The 18007-nt window shown below is 38.2% G+C and overlaps 2 long non-coding RNA genes across 2 annotated transcripts in view; one reads left to right on the top strand and one right to left on the bottom strand.

Moving 5' to 3' along the window:
- The window catches only part of LINC00189 (long intergenic non-protein coding RNA 189), a 94712-nt gene extending 81311 nt beyond the window's left edge, over window positions 1–13401 (top strand). Inside the window, exon 2 of the long non-coding RNA NR_027072.2 lies at window positions 13180–13401. This is a non-coding gene — a long non-coding RNA (long intergenic non-protein coding RNA 189). The remainder of the gene's footprint in view (window positions 1–13179) is intronic.
- Window positions 8745–13276, bottom strand: LOC124905007 (uncharacterized). Its single transcript, XR_007067841.1, has 2 exons — window positions 13164–13276; window positions 8745–9800 (listed from the first exon to the last, which is right to left on the bottom strand). It is a non-coding gene; the product is annotated as an uncharacterized LOC124905007 (long non-coding RNA).
- Window positions 13402–18007: the final 4606 nt, after the last annotated feature.

The following is an 18007-nucleotide window of genomic DNA, read 5'->3' on the forward strand; positions in this document are numbered from 1 at the left end:
TCTGAAGCCTCCTGCTGGGAAACAGCAGCAGGTGAGTGAGCTTTCTTGGGAACAATCCTAAGCTTCGTCCAACCCTTCAGGTGACTGTGGTCCTGGACAGCATCTTGACTACAACCTCATGAGAGACTCTGAGCCAGAACCACTCAGCTAACTGTTCCCAAATTCCTGACCTGCAGAAACTGGGAGTTAATACATATTTATTGCTATTTTGAGCTGTTATGATTTACAGTAATTTATTACACAGCCATAGACTAATACAAAATTAGCTAGTTATGGTTCTTTTATACTTAATGCTTCCAGTGGCTATTTTTTTCATACCAAGCGCCTTAACATTCAACATATTAACAATAAATTATTTCAAAATAACTCGTGCTCTGTTATGTGTCACTTCACATAATATAAATGCTGGTCATAATATATATACATAATATAAATGCTGGACACATCTCAATGTGTCACTGAGTTTTGCAGTTTTAGTAGGTCACACAATAGAAATGAAAGGGTTAGTTTAAATATCTAACCTGTAACACAAATAGCTTTTTTTAGGCATTTTAAAACTTACTAAAAAGAAAAAAGATTTAAACATTGTGTTAGGATGGATATAGCAAATTATGGATTTTATGTTTTTAGTGAATTTTCCTATGGATTTTTCTAGTTTTCCTTTCCCCCATTGATTAAATTAAAACCTCTATATTATCCATGAGTTCCTTAACAGAAGTCCTGGTGCCTGGAAATTATTTATATAATGAATAATAGCTGCCATTTTTGAGCACTTATCGGGGTAGAGGTTGTGCTAAGGCTTTTATATTCATTTCCTCATGCAATTAGAAGAATTAGATGAGAAAGGAAGGCAATCACCACAGAAAGGAAGGCAATCACCAGGAAGAGGTATTATCCAGAAAGTAGGAATGAGAAAGGGAAAGATAAAATGATGTTATTTGTTTTCCTTATGTTTTTTGACTTTGTTTTTTTAGAGCAGTTTTAGGTTCACTGCAAAATTGAGAGGAAGGTACAGAGGTTCCCCATGTCTCCCCACCCCACACATGCATAGCCTCCACCATTATTGACATCCCCTACCAGAGTGGTACATTTGTTGCAGTCAATAAACCTAACTGACACATCATTATCACCCAGAGTCCATAGTTTACATTCAGGTTCACTCTTGGTGTTCGGCATTCTATGAGTTTGGACAAATGTATAATGACATGTTTTCCTTATTTTCAATGGTTCTTTGAAGAGCATTCATAGTGCTTCATTAAAATATATTTCTTTTTATATTGTATTTTTCTTAATTGAAACACATAAACATTTTGTCATTTAGCTGCAATTTCATTCAATTTAAAATGCATTTCATCTTCATAAGAAGTAATTTATAGTTTAAATTTAAAATATTACCTTTTAAAATGATGATCTTTAATATACAGTGAAAGCTTAAGTTTTTAGCATAGTAGATAGTATAACTAGAGCTTGGTGATTAATGCTAAGCTAGTGAGTGAACTACTTTATTATGGAAATAAATAAGTATAAAATATTAATTTATCTCTTAAAATTTGAAGTACTAAGTTTTATTCCTCATAATTACTTGTATTTTTCCCAATTGAATACTTCTACTTTTTGAAGAAAGATATAACTGTGTTGAATGTTATAATTCACTGGCAGTCATGATATACTTTTTAAAGACTGAGCCTGTTAACATGATTTTAATAAAAATCAGGAGAGTGAAAATTTAAACTAAAAACAGATTCCAGCTTTCTCCAACATCTTTATCACTTTCCTTATGGGCAGTGTTAAATGTATCTTATTCTCTTTAATTTTTCCTTATTGAGTTTAAAGTAATAACAAATAGCAAATCTTAAATGTGACTTAAGTATATACTAAGTGTTCCCTATTGACTGACTCCTATTCATTTATTTCTCCTGTTGGATATTTTCGTAAGCATGTAGCATAGAGCTATTAGGAAGGTTGGAGAAGGTTCCAATCAGGAGATGAATTTTGAGCTGGTCTTGAAAGCAAGTAATGAGTGAAAAAGAGGTGAGGTGGGTGACTTTGGGTACAATTCCATTCAGGATGAGATGATAGCAGGTGAAAAAGTACAGAGCTAATTTTTTCTATAAAGCAACAGAAAGCTGAAAAAATTAAATTTCAAAACAATACCAGTTACAATACTATCAACCATCATAACATATTAAGAATAAATTCAACCAAATGTGTGGTAGGCAATTTTTGTATATCAGCTTTGTATTCTCTGACCTCATTAAATTCACTTATTAATTCTAGTAAGTTAAAATTTTTTTCTTATGATTTTTCTACATAAAAGAACATATCAACTACTAATATGAAGTCTTCTGTTCACTTTTTACGTTATTTATTTATGTATTTTTGCCTTATTGAACTGGCTATTACCTCTAGTATAGCACAAACTACAAAACATTGCAGAGAATAAGTAAAATATATCTAAATATATCTAATATAAAATATATCTAAATAAATAATGAAATATACCATGTTTATACGTTGGCAGATTCAAGACTGTTAGGACATCTATTCTCTCCCAAATATAAACTTAACACTATTCCAAATAAAATCTCAGCATGCTTTAAAAAAAATCTAGAGGCCAATTCTAATATATTTATGGATTGCTGAAGACCTAGAATATGCACATTCTGAAAAAAAATTTTATTGGAGAATTCACACACCTGATTTCAAGGTATACTTTAAAGCTTCTATAATTGAGACAATATGGCATTAGTATAAGGAGAGACAAGTAGATCCAAGAAAAAAAAAAGTGTCTAGAAGTTGTTCCATAGTTACATGGTAATCAATTTTTGGCAAAGTGCCAAAGTAAATCAATGGGAAAAGAACAATTTCAACAAATGATGTGGTACATCTGTATGTCTGCATGGGAAAATAAATTAACCCTGACCTCTGCCTCACACCATCCACAACATTTTTTAAGATGGGAAGTAGACCTCAATGTAAAAGATAAAATGGTAAAACTTCCAGAAGCATAGGAGAATGTCTTTGTGCTCTTGCCACTGCCATCGATTTTTAGGCTAGGACACAAACACTATCTATAAAAAGAAAAACTGATAAGACTTCAGAACAATACATCATTAGGATAATTAAAAGGCAGAATAAACAAGAATAAAATATTATCTCTCTTGCTCTGTGTGTGTGTGCACATGTGTATGTGCGAGCATGTGCATCTTAAATCCGGAATACATAAAGAACTCTTAAAAATCAAGAATAAAAGTATAAACAGGCAGTAATACATAGGCAAAGACTTGAATAGATACTGCACAAAAGAAAATATAGGAATGGCCAATAAATACATGGAAAAGTAACAAGGTGTTCAGCGTCATTGGTTGTCAGTGAAATGGAAATACATCTCCATAAGACTACATTTCTTTCTTTTTTGAGACAGGGTCTCGTTCCATCACACAGGCTGGAGTGCAGCGGCATGATCACAGCTCAATGCAACCTAGACCTCCAGAGCTCAATCAATCCTTTTGCATCAGCCTCCTAAGAAGCTGAAACTACAGCCCGGCTAATTTTTGTATTTTTTGTAGAGACAGGGTTTTGCCATTTTGCCCAGGATGGTCTCGAACTCCTGGGCGTAAGCAATCCTCCTGCCTTGGCCTCCCAAAGTGCTGGAACTACAGGCGTGAGCCACCACACCTGACTGAGAACATGTCATACCCACTAGAATGACTAGTGCTTAAAAAATGGACAATATAAGAGTTGCAGGGAATGTGGAGCTCACACATTGCTGATGGGAGTGTAAAATGTTACAAAACTTTAGAAAACAGTTTGGGATTTCTCATAAAGTTATAAATACACCTATTGGCCCGGTGTGGTGGCTGACGCCTGTAATCTCAGTACTTTGGGAGGTGGAGGTGGGTGGATCACCTGAGGTCAGGAGTTCAAGACCAGCCTGGACCAGCCTGGTGAAACCCCGTCTCTACTAAAAATACAAAAATTAGCCCAGCGTGGTGGCGCATGCCTGTAATCCAAGCTACCTGAGAGGCTGAGGCATGCGAATTGCTTGAACCTGGGAGGTGGAGGTTGCAGTGAGCCGAGATCATGCCACTGTACTCTAGCCTGGATGACAGAGCAAGACTCCATCAGACAAAAAGAAAGGGGCAGGGGGAACCACCTATCTTAGGTCCAGCAATCCCACTGCTAGGGAAATGAGGGAAATAAAAACAAATATTCATAAAAAATATTGTATATGAATATAACACTTTTATCCATAATAGTCTAAACCTGAAACAACCCACATGCCCTTCAATAGGTGAATGGATAAGCAAATTTATGATACAGTCAAACAAATGACTATTTCTCAGCAATAAAATGAATGAACTATTGATACACACAATAATGTGGGTGAATCCATACTTTCCAATTCTTTTAATTGAGGCTTGAGAACAGCAAAAATTAAGCCATGGTCAAAGAAATTGGATCAGGTGTTGCTTGGAGGAGAGGGAGGATAAGTCATGGTAAAGGGGCATGAGAGAATCTTCTGACATGATGGGAATGTTCTAGATCATGATTGGGGTTGCACATATATATACATTTGTCAAAACTCACAGAACTGTACACTTAAAATCTGTGCAGTTAGTGTAATAAATTTTACACTGACTAATCCAATTAAGAGATTGAAAAAGCCACAGAATAAGGAAAAATCTAAAAGACATATACCCCTAAGTTATATATTTTCAAAATCTTCCTAGAACTCATTAAGAAAAATACAGACAGTCCAATGAAAAAAGCCAAATGACTTGAGCAAGACCTCACATATCAGGGTTTTCAAAATGGTCAATAAATTTATGAAATGTGGCTTAACATCATGGAAATGCAAATTAAAACCACAATGAATGTCATTACCCAACAACCAGAATGGGAGAAACTTCAAAAACTGACAGTGCCAGGTGTCTTAGTGGATGTGAAATACTTGGAACTCTCATACACCACTCATTGGAATGTTAATTGAAGAACTATTTAGGAAAGTTGTTGGGCAGCATCTGTGAATGCTGATCCTCTGCATATCCTTTGATCTAGTAATCCCATTCCTAGTTTTATACCCAAAACAAATGTGCATATAAATGTACCAGGAAGCATTTGCAAGTATGTTCATGGCAACTTTATTCATAATGGCCTCAAACATGCCTACCAACCATACAATGGATACATGCACTGTGGTACATTCATACATGCAATGAAATACGGATATTATTGCTACTCCTAATAACAGGGATAAATTTTGCAAAAAAAAAAAAAAAATAGAGCTAAAGAAGCCAGACACAAGATTATATACTGTATAATTCTACTTCAAAATTAATTTAAACTTACATGAAGTTCAAAAAACTGGTAAAACGAATCTGTGGTATTTGGTTGCTGAATAATGGTTATCTTTTGGGGACACAGGTAATTATTGGTAAGGTACACCAGGGAGTCATCTGGGATAATAGAAAAATTCTACATACTGATTAGGTGGTGTTTACATAGGTGTATTCACCTTGTAAAAAAAAATTAAGTTTTATACTTACGATTAATGTATCTTTCTATATGCATGCTTCATTTTAATAAAAGATTTATATTAAATTAAAATGGAAGAAATAATGAAGGCCTGAAGTAATGTTAATAGAGAGAAGGGGAGAAAAGTGCCTGATTTTAAGGATATTTCAGAGGTAAATTCCATAGGATTTGGTGATTGATTGGTTTTGAGGAATCCAGATGAAATAGAGATGAGAACAAGCTAGCCTGGTGGAAGAGGGTGATATCATCAATGGAGACTGAAAATATAAGCAACGAAGGAGTTTGAGGTGAGGAACGAGATGGGGTGATGGAGGAAGTAGGATCATAAAATGGATGTACAGAATTAAGAAACTTTGGGACTATGGTTATGCCTGGGGCAACTGAAAGTAAAGATCTGCTGGGCATGGTGGCTCATGCCTGTAATTCCAGCACTTTGGGAGGTTGAGGGAGTGTGGATCGCTTCAGCCCAGGAGTTTGAGACCAGCCTGGGAAATATGGTAAAACCCCGTCTCTACAAAATACAAAAAAATTAGCTGGGCATGGTGGTGCATGCCTGTAGTCACCTATTTGGGAGGCTGAGGCAGGAGAACCACTTGAGTCCAGGAGGTCAAAGTTGCAGTGAGCCGAGATTGCGCCATTGCACTCCAGCCTGGGTGACAGAGAGAGACTCTGTCTCAAAAGAAGAAAAAAAGTAAAGATCTGAAAGCTTAGAAATAGGTTAGGGAGGGGGATATTGTCTTCCCATCATTATTATATAAGGTAGTTTGCCATAACTATCATATGAGGTATTTAGGTCATCCTTTTTTGCTGATTTCACCTTGGCTTTATTCTACACTTTGATCTAGTATGTAAGCTTTTTTTTTCTTTCTTAAATCTCTTTGATTCTTCTGATTGCTTCCTCCTTATGTATAACCTCATCTGTTTTTTAAATGGATTGGATGGAGAGTTCAAACCTCACCTGACTTCCTGCACTAAAGCTCTTGTTTGTTTGGAATACAATTTGGGGGTGTTATCTCCTTATCTAAGCAACGTTTATGGTTGTGTAATCATTCTATTCTAAGTTTGTTTGCATTGTACTATAAGATGCCTTTTTCTATGCTTGGAGTTTGTATTAGTCCATTCTCACACTGCTAATAAAGACACACCCGAGTGGCTGGGCGCAGTGGCTCACGCCTGTAATCCCAGCACTTTGGGAGGCCAAGACGGGTGGATCACGAGGTCAGGAGATCGAGACCATCCTGGCTAACGTGGTGAAACCCGGTCTCTACTAAAAAAAAAAAAAAAATTTAGCCAGGCATGGTGGCAGGCACCTGTAGTCCCAGCTACTGGGGAGGCTGAGGCAAGAGAATGGCGTGAACCCAGGAGGCGGAGCTTGCAGTGAGCCGAGATCACACCACTGCACTCCAGCCTGGGCGACAGTGCGAGACTCTGTCTTAAAAAAAATGAAAATAAAAAAAAAAGACATACCCGAGAATGGGTAATTTATAAAGAAAAGAGGTTTAATTAACTCACAGTTCCACATGGCTGGTGAGGCCTCACAATCATGGTGGAAAGCAAAGGAGGAGCAAAGACACATCTTACATGGCACAGGCAGAAGGGCATGTGCAGGGGAACTCCCCTTTATAAAACCATCAGATCTCATGAGACTTATTCACTATCACAAGAACAGTAAGGGACAATCCCACACCCATGATTCAGTTACCTCCTACCGGGTCCCTCCCACTACACGTGGGGATTATTACAATTCAAGGTGAGATTTGGGTGGGGACATAGCCAAATCACATCAAGGTTTGTTGAGTTTCTTGGCTATATATGTTTATGGTTTTCATCACATTTGGAAAAATTCTTCAGCCATTATGTCTTTAAATGTTTTTTTATGTTCTCTCCCATCCTTGGGAACTCCAATTACATGTATGTTAGGCTGCCCAAGATTGTCTCACAGTTAAGTGATGCTCTGTTCATTTTTTTTTTTCAGTTTATTCCGTTTCATTTTGGAGAGTTTCTATTGCTGTGTCTTCACATTAGTCCTTTCTTTTGTGGTACAGTCACAACTTCTCAGCAATAAAATGAATGAACTATTGATACACACAATAATGTGGGCAAATCCATACTTTTGTATCCATACAGTGTCTAATGTGCTGTTAATCTCATACAACAGATGGAATTTTTATTTAAGACATTGTACTTTTTATTTCTAGGAGTTGGATTTGGGTCATTTTAATATATCCAAATCTCTATTAAAAATGTTTCATCTTTCTCCTGCCTTCTTGTACATATGGAATATAGTTACAATGGAAATAGAGTTACAATATAGTTTTAATGTCCTTGTCTACTAATTCTATCAGTTGTAGATCCATCATTTCTGGATCAAATTCTATCAGTTGTAGATCCATCATTTCTGGATCAATTTCTATTGATTAACTTTTTCTTTCATTATGTTTTGTCATATTTTTCTGCTTCTTTGTGTACCTGGTAATATTTGATTGGATGTTGTTCATTGTAAATTTTATCTTGTTGGGGTTATTGATATTTTTGTATTCCTGTAAATATCTGAGTTTTATTGGGATGCAGTTACGAAAATAGTCTGAGCCTTTCAAACTTTTAAGCTTTGTGATTTGGGAGGAGAGCAGCCTTTAGTTTACGGCTAATTTTGCCCCATTACTCAAACAATACTCTTCTGAGTACTCTCTATCCAATGCTTCATGAATGAAGTTTTCCACTCCTGCTGGGAGACACCTGAACTATTCCCTGTCTTGTGTGAGCTCCAGTATTTGCTTTCTTTGTTCCTTTCATATGGTTCTTTGCCTATCCGTCAACCTTTGCCTCACAGGCATGCAGTGAACATTATTAAGCTGGAGACATGAGGGGGACTCTCTGCAGATCACTGGAGTTCTCTATGAAGCTCCCTTTCTTCAGCATTCTTCTCTGCAAATTCCAGCTGCCTTGGTTTTTCCAGATGACCAGCTCCAGCTTCTTAACTCTGATTGACCACCAGGCTCCCCACTTGGGTTTCCTCTCTTCAGGCAGTAATCTGGGGCACCCATAGGACTCATTTTATTTGTTTCCCACTCTCAGGGAACACTGTCCTGTGTTGCTAGAATCCAATAGAAAAACCATTGTTTCATTTTTTTTTTTCTGATTTTTTAGTTTCTGGTGGGAGGGTGTATTAGTTCTTGCATTGCTATAAAGAAATATATAAAACTGGGTAATTTATAAAGAAAAGTTTAATTAGCTCACAGTTCCACAGGCTGTACAGGAAGCATAGCTGGGGAGGCCTCAGGAAACTTACAGTCATGGTGGAAGTTGAAGGGGAAGCAGGCATGTCTTCATATGTTCAGAGCAGGAGGAAGGGAAAGAAGGGGGAGGTGCTACACACTTCTTAACAACCAGATCTCATGAGAACTCACGATTACAAGAATAGCAAGGGAGAAAGCCACCTCCATGATCCAATCACCTCCCATCAGGCCCCTCTCCCAACACTGGGGATTATAATTTGACATGAGATTTGGGCAGAGATGCAGATCCAAACCATATCGGAGGGTAAACCTTGTTTCTGTTACCCTATCTTGGTCATAAGCAGAAATCCAGATGCATTCTGCAAACATATTTTTTCTTTGTTTTCTCCCATTGGCACTTAGTCTCATAAATCTGACAGATTTCTATTTATGAAGAAGTAGTAAATGGGCCACACCTGTGTGACTTTCTTCCTCAGGGAATCAAAGGAAGTCATTCCTTACGTTTCAATTCAATTCAATTCCTATCATTGAATTCTATCTGTGTGACTGAAACTAATTCTTGAAAAAATGTTTCGTTCCAGTCCTCCTCTTTCTTTTTTAATGCCTTTCAGCTGTTCCCAATACTATCTGATGGAAACACTGAAGTTACACTGATGGCTGTTCAGCATCAGTGGCCAAGAGCACAGATATTGGCATCAATCAGAGCTGGATCTGCATCTTGGCACAACTACTGCATAATCACAGCATTCCTTGAGCTCTTGCTACCTGGCCAGGCAAGGTGTGATGGGCTTTTATATGAACGATTTCAATGAGTATTCACAACAATCCTACCTAATAGCATAGTTGGCGTTATTATTATGAGTTATCACATGGAGGTCTGCAACAGCAGTCAGTGTGTCTGAGTTGAATCCTGGCATTACCCCTTACTATCTTTGCATTATTGAGGAAGTCCTTTAACCTCTTCAAGCTTTGGATTCTTCATTTGTAAAGTGGTAATAACATCTTCCTCAATGTGCTGTGAAGACTCTAAAAGAAAAAATATATAAAGTGCTTAGCACAGTGATTGGTGCACATGAGTGCTCAATAAAAGGTGACTAGATGCATTATTTTTCTGTGAAACATTGAGAATAAAAGGGATGTTGCCTTGTAGCTTTCAAACAAAGACTTTTTGGAAACTTGATAAAGAGGCCATGAGAATGCACCTCCCAGACCTTCTACCACAGGGCATAGTAGAAGGCCATTTGTAATTGGCCTATGGCACCAGCTACTAAGTTTTGAAATGCATGGGTACCTTTGCTTGAGGCTTGAGGCTATACTTCCCATGGGCTGCTCCTTGCCAGTGATGCAGTGTAGTGGGGATACAAAGGCAGACTCATTCATAGAGCCATGGGACTCCTACCAGTGTCCACTTAGGCTCAAGGACTTTCTGCTAACTTTGTTGAACCTTCGTTAGACTGCACTGTATTTCTACGATGCTTCCATGCAATCTTCTCTCCTCTCTTCTTTGCTTGAGATTAGGCTTGCAATGGAGTCTTATTGCTCTACCTGCTGTTTCCTTTCACACAGGCATTCCTTCTAATCAATTCCTTGCATGTTTAATCCTGTTCCAGGTGTTGGCTTGTTAGAGGATCTGAACTAACACACTTGCGTTCTTGTTCAGTGTACCCTGGCAATCATGCTGATTGGAACTTGCAAAGGGTTTTTCCTGGCCCCTATCTCAGGAAAATGATGTTCACCACTATTTTCCTTAGAAGTCTCTCTTCATTCCTCCAATGGTTCCTTGACCTCATTCATTTGATTTCCCACCATATTTTAACAGTGAGAGTCACCTCCCATCACCCTTCTTTGATTTTCCTTCCAGCCACCTATATTTAGTAATTCATTCTTCATCTGCTCCTTTTTTTCTCTCTCTTCCTTGCAACTTTGAATTGTAGGATGTTTAGTGAGACATCCTATATCCTTCATATATCTTTGCACTTCCTCAACTTTTAATTGCAGTCAACTTTGCAAATTTGCATAGAGATTTTCTTTATATAATTAAGTTACATATAATGGAATTTTTACCGTTTTTGTGATTCTTTCTTATAACTCTATGTTCTACATAACCCTGCATTTAAATACTCATTCAGTTTAGTATTGGACAAATTACTTCTCTGATTCTCAAACTCCTCGCTGTGAAACAGGGATGAGCATACATGCCCCTTCTGGTTGTTGTGAAGATTAAATGAACACACATCAATGGAACCTAGCTCTGTGCCCAATGTTTGGCAAAAGTTAGTTCATTCTCCTACCTAGGTAACTCAAAATCTAAGACAGTTCTTGGTTGTATTAAGAAGAAATAAAATACTGCTTAAACTGAAAACATTCAAAGATAGAAAGCAGGCTCATAGAAGTTAGCACAGCTAAGGGCAAGATTTGAATTCAGATTTCCTGATCCCAGAGTGTGCCTTAATTACTAATCATTTATTATAAAAGAAGACAAAAAGTACTTCACTTCTATCTTGTCAGTGTGTTAGTCTGTTTGGGCTGCTATAACAAAATACTATAAACTGGGAGGCTTACAAAACAGAATTTTATTTTTCACAGTTCTGGAGGCTGGGAAGTCTGAGATCCAGAAACGGGCAGATTCTGTGTCTAGAGAGGACCCACTTCCTGGTTCATGGATGGTGCCTTCTTGCCGTGTTCTCACATAGTAGAAGAAGCTAGTCAGCTCTCTGGGGTCTCTTTTATAAGTATACTAAGTGCATTAATCACTTCCTAAAAGTGCCATTTTCTAAAACCATCACCTTGGGGTTAGGATTTTCACATATGGATCTTGAGGGAACACAAACATTCAGATCATAGCAGGTGGGTTCCCCAGAAGCAGACCCTGAGACAAGGATTCATGTGCAAGTGATTTGTTATTTATTATTTTCCTCCCAAGGGAAATCAGTAAGGAAATGAAGGAAGAATAGGGAAGGAGAGGAAGCCAAACAAGGTGCAATATTGGACAAAAGTCCTGCGGAAGATAGGTGTGGCCTGATCCCATAGGGGAACTTAGAGAATAACGTGAGGCAGAGGAGCTTGGCTTTCATACTCCTCTGCCCAGCAGCTAAGCACCATCCAGAGAGAGGTAAAGTTGCAGGCATTTCTGAATCAACATGTGCAGGGGATGGGGGTGGGAAGCAGCTTCACTGACTGAGGGAAGTCTTCTAAAGAAGGGCTGGCCATCGGGAGCAAGAGCAGAGAGGTGCACAAAAATGGTAAAAGGGGTCTGAAGGGTCTCGGTGGATCACCAACACTGTGTACTTCAACTCCAGCCTGCTCCCTGGGAGGCTGTTTTCACAGTTTTGTTTTCACTTAGAAGATGCTTATTTCAAAGAGCGTGCACGCAGCTGCATCTTCAACCTTTTTCCATTGACTGGATTTTTAAATACACACACACACACTCACACACACACACACACACCCCTCTATTCCAAAGGCCATCATCAAACCGGTTTATAACTGAAATTTAAATTAGGGTAATATCTCTTGGATAGTTTCACATTAAGGAATGATTAGTATTCCTCTTGCATAACTTCAAAGCTAAAAAATCCTCAGTGCCACCATTTTCATATTTCTTGATGCTATCTAGTCCCTTCTCAGAATCAGCAAATTAGGCTTGGGCAGGACCTGATCTCTGCTTCACCCTTGCTTTTATCTAAAATATTCTTGGCTTCTATAATAATGAAGCTAATACTTATACAATTATGCCTATGTGCTGGTCTAAATGCTCTTTGTATGTTAACTCATTTAATATTTGCAACAACTCTGTTGTAATAAGTACCAGCATAATCCCTGTTTATGGGTGAAGAAACAGGCACAAATGGGTAAGTAGTAGAAGTGGGTTTCAAACACTCTGGCTCTAACTAAAGTCCATGTTTGTAATCATTATGCTGAAATGCCTCTCCACGAGGGATGAAAGTCCCTCCAAAAGCAGCCTACATTGATTTCTGTTCCATCTACTTTCTCATCAATGACTTCCTGTTAGCCTGAATTGAACTAATAAGTACTCAAGACTAGTAAATACTTAGTTCCTGAACTTGGTGATTCAGATAGCAGGAAGCCCAATGTAGCTTCCTTCCAGTTTCTATTCTAGGCCATCTGTGGCTTGCTTCATATTCTCTCCCAGCAGGACTCCACAGAGGCCAGGATTTTGACACTTTTGACTATTATAAATAAAACTGATCAAAATACCTCCTACAAATCATATGACATAATAGGGAATTAATAGACCTTTTATTAAATGATTACAAATCATACTTAAAAAGGATATAACTGCACACTGTATGATATAAAGCTTTAAAACATGCACATAAATTGATATAAGAAGGCACTTATGAAGTCCATACAGTCAAATTTATTTACCTGTATTTATTTACAGGATCTTCAGGGAATGTTTCAGGTGGAGGAAGGGGCTCTTGGTCAATGAGCCTGAAGACTGCATGGCAACCTTTGCCAGCTTTTGGCCTGAAAACTCAACTTCTTCATTTGAGATAATTCCTGTTTTATATACTTTCATTTGAGATATTCCTGGTGTATCAACTGAAACAAAATCTATGAAATATCAGATTCACAAAAATACATTTTGAATATTGAACGTGGATAGATGTATTTAAATCTTTCCTATTTTTTGCACTTTCATAATATATATCATTCTTTATTTTTCTACTAATAATGATGAATCTACAGTATCTCAGGGCCTTATTTTCAATATCTTAACTGGATTTTTAATAAAAGTCTTACTGAATAGGTAACACTTGTTTCCAAAAACTATGCTCACCTGTCAATGATTCAGAATTCGTCTCTGTCATCCCTCTGCTACTTAGCATTCAGTGCCCTCTACTGCCCTCCCCGACTCCACCAAAATTCTCTCAGGCCCCAACAGTGGCATGGATTCTGCTCTCGATGCTTTCTTCCACTTTCCTGTCAAAATGCATTTAAATCCCATTCGCCATGAGTATTTTTATGAGCTGCTTCTCACTAGAGTGATTACGACTGTCCTTAAATGTGGCTTAATGTTTGCCCTCTGAAAGAATTTGAATTTTAACAGAGAACTTCTGAATACGCAAAACCTTCACCCCAAATAATCAATCTTTAAGGGATTTCGGGCGCCAACTAGAAAAGTAATAAGGGCACAGACTGATCTGTTTGTATCTGCTAATAGAAACACGGATTTTTGTCTATTAAAAAGTGATAGAAATGTCTATGATTAATGTTTTCTTTCCTATGCCACATCATGCGGTGCTTGCACATGGTTTTATGCTTGACTTCCCATTGCTAAGGATAAAGAATCAAATTATATTAGAGCTTGTTTTTGGAAACCCAAGGGGTACATGTAGTTAATTAGAGATATGCCCTCTGTTTATTTTCCCTGTTTTTCCTAAGGGATGTAAAAAACATTTTCAATAGTATTCCTTCTGGAAATCTTATTTAGCCAGTGGGTAATTTTCCAGTGTTCTAACCAATTTAAATGGATGCTTTTAGAACTGTAAGCTTAATATTCATTCTAGAGCCTCTTTTTACTTAGGTAAAATTCTCAAATTGCTAGTATAAAAAGATATTTCCTTTTATTAAATGGGATTCAACATCTCATTCCTGTAGCTTCAGTTCAGAGACATGGATTTAAAATACATTTAGTTTATTTTGACCATGTTAAGTGGATCTGCTTTTTTAAATTTATGCAATTATGACAGATGTTTTATTGATTATTCTTTCATAAAATGCACAATAAGAGGCCGAGTATCAGAATAATTCCATATAATTTCACATGTTCCCCCAATGTTTTTGCATAGCTTAAATCCATAAAATTGTTTTGAAGGATTTTAATTTCTTTTTTGTTTGGCAGCTGTCCCATGTTTCGAAAAAGCCATTTCCTGGAACTTTGTCAGAGTATTTTTACTGGCTTATCTATATCTGTGTTCTGTTATGTGTGACCTCATTATATCCAAGGGGAGGTAGCAATACTGAAGTCAATAATATTCTTCATAATTTCATAATAACATACATCTTTTGTTCTTTTATTACTGTCGGCACTATTATACTGTCATTCAGTGCTATTCATTTGCCAGCCTCCAGGATCATTGGTGTAGGTTGAGCGTCTTGGTCAATTTGTGCTGCTTTAACAGAATACCACAGTGGCTTGTACAACAAGCACTTATTTCTTACAGTTCCGGAGGCTGGAAGTCCAAGATCACGGTTCAGCTTGGTCAGGTTCTGCTGAAGGCCCTCTTTTGGGTTGCAGATGTCACCTTCTTGCTGTGTTTTCACATGGTGGGATGAGGGAGGGAGCTTTTTGGGGTTCTTTTATAAGGGCACTAATTACATTTATGAGGTTTCCATCCTCAAGAACTAATCACCTTCCAAAGGCCTGACCCCCTAATAACATTACAATGGGGGTTAGGATTTCAACATAAGAACTTTGGTGAGACATAAACATTCAGTTTATTGCACTGAATATTTTCATAACAATCCACTTACTCCCATACAACAGAGGATGCATGACTTCAGGGTTCTTAGCATGTATGTTTATACAGAATGACAAGAGGAACTTGAGATTAAGAAGGGGTATCAGTTAAGACTGCATTTGGCTTTATGTCACAGAAACTCAACTCTAGAAGCTTAACTGAATAGGGTTTTCTTTCTCTGCTTTTAAAAGAAGAGTAAACTCAGTAACCAGGGCTAATCAGCTGCTCAAGAAAAGTCATCAAGCACCTGAGCTTCTTCCTAGCTTCCTGCTCTGCTATGCTTAGCCTGTAGTTTTCATCCTCATGATTGAAAGAAAAGAGCTCCTCCTCCAGTCATTCAAGGAAGGTGGACAGAGGGCATAAGCGCAGCTGATTCAGCCTTTTGTTATCAGGAAAGTAAAAACTTTCCTGGAAATTGTATTGAGTCCATATTTGCTTATATGTGATTGAGAAGGACTAGGTCACATAGCTAATGCAATCTGGAAAGGCATGTTTTAAGTTGGTACATTGCACATTTAATCAGGATTATGTTAGAAAGAAAGGGATATTGGGTAGACAAAGCAGTGTCTGTCACAAAGGGATTAAGGGCAAGGTAAGTGTATGGAAAATAAAGCATCCCTGATCTAAAGGTCAGTCCTGAAGCTACTATGATTAATAAAGAGGGTGTTTCCATGAAGTAGGAACCACCTGAACCAGGTCACTGCAGGATTGTCATCTCACCATGATTTTGAACTTGCTGATGCAGAAAACTGAACTATAGACACATTGGTGGTGATAACAGCTTTAGGATGCACATTCACCTGAAGCTGCAGAGGCAGGGGGAACACTGGAAAGATAATTTATTGATTTACAATGAGGATATAGCTAACAAGTGTTTCAAATATTGATGCTTATTAACCAACCCATCTCTTCCAGTAGGTAAATGTACATGTAAAGGCAAATAATTATTGGAAAGAAATCAAAGAGAAATCCAGGTTGGAAGACCTCTATAGCTAATGTAGTAGAACCAAACCATGGTAGCCTGTGCTTCCATCCTTCTCCTGTCCTGCAGGTTAACAGGGCCCAGGAGTAAAATACTGAGTCCCAGGCAGGGCAAGGGATATGATGCTCCTATTTGTACCTCTAGCTTTCCCTTCACTGGCTTTAGGAGTTGATTTAGCTTCTCTTTACTACATCCACATTCTTTCCTTTGATGTGTTAATATAGTCACTCTCCTTACCCCCAAGTCTTGATCTGGTGAATCAGTCAGGGAACTGATAGAAAACAGATGGAACCATTTACAAGGATGAGGGCAGGGAACCCACCAAAGGGGTGATGCACCCTAGGGCTAACCAAAGTAGGGAGATACCACTACCCTTAGAGTGATGTTGCTTTGGCTTTAGCTGTAGGTGAAGGTGGCCTGGCAGGAGCTGGGGACTTTGGTAGAGGAATACAGCCATAGCCAACCCTTGGCCTGGCAGGTAGACAGCTGAGTTCCTGTAGACATCTGCCGTTATCCGTATCAACCAGAAGTGAGGGAGCATGGGGAATCCATGAATACCATCCTAAAAGGCCTGCCTCCTAGGGTACAGAGAAGTGTGGAGGAGGCTGGAGAGGGAATCTGGAGCGATCAAGGCTGAAAACCCAGCACCCCTAATCAATTGACTGTTCTATCTCTTCATGCTAATAACCATCTCTCTCCTCTGATCCAGTAGTTCTTATTCAAAGATGAATCATTTTCCTCCCTTTCCAAAGTGCTCCCTATGTATGGCACCTCAGTCCAGGTGAATCATTTTCCTCCCTTTCCAAAGTGATCCCTATGTATGGCACCTCAGTCCAGGGAATAGGCTGTTATGATGACAACCTGTGTCTACGGTCTCTCCTCTAGGAGTTCAGTACTTCTTCTCATGGTGGCCACTCAGACCTCAGTTAGCTCATGATTGAATTATCTGGCTTATCTTTTTACCCAGATGCCAGGAAGCTATAGACAAATCTGTAGCTCATCTTTATCAAAGATACATGTTTTGCAATATGTATGTTTTAGCTTCTTTCCTGATTCCATTTTTTGATTTCCACTTTGTTCCTTTATTCCTTTACACTTTCTTTTAATGTATACGCACATTTCTCATATTGGGGCATGAATATCTTTAGGTCAGGGTTTCTCAGCCTTGGCTCTGTGGAAACTTGGGCGAGATAATTATTTGTTCTGAATGGCGAATAACGTATCCTTATTCACAAAGTATTTTATCCATGGGTACTGTCCTGTGCATTGTAGAATGTTTGGCAGCATCTCTGGCCTCTACCTCCTAGAGGCTAGAACCACCCACCCCATAACAATATCTCCTGCTGCAGGGGGTGGGGGGTGCAAAATTGGCCTCTATTGAGAACCTGAATGAGAACCTGATTGAGGACACTGAATGAAGTGTTATATGAAGAGGTGAAGTAAAAATATGAGTCAAAATATGGCACCTCTCTTGGTTGTGCCAGTTTTGCATTAAAAAATGGAGAATACATTTATTAAAACAAGTATGTTATAGAGTAGCCTTTACTACTTCCAGAACGTTTCAGAATAAAAGATCAGGAGCTGCAGGCTACAATCCTTGGTGTAAACACGAACAAATACATAGAACAAAGCTATCAGACTGGATTTTTCTGTCTTTTGCAGACGTGTGACTATGGTTGAAGGTGCTGTCTCTGATTCAGTACCAAGCATAAGCATCACTGACTCTGCAGGAAGGCACTGGCACCAAACATTTAGTAACTTTT

The sequence above is a fragment of the Homo sapiens genome, chromosome 21, assembly GCF_000001405.40.
Source record: "Homo sapiens chromosome 21, GRCh38.p14 Primary Assembly".
Lineage (NCBI taxonomy): Eukaryota > Metazoa > Chordata > Mammalia > Primates > Hominidae > Homo > Homo sapiens.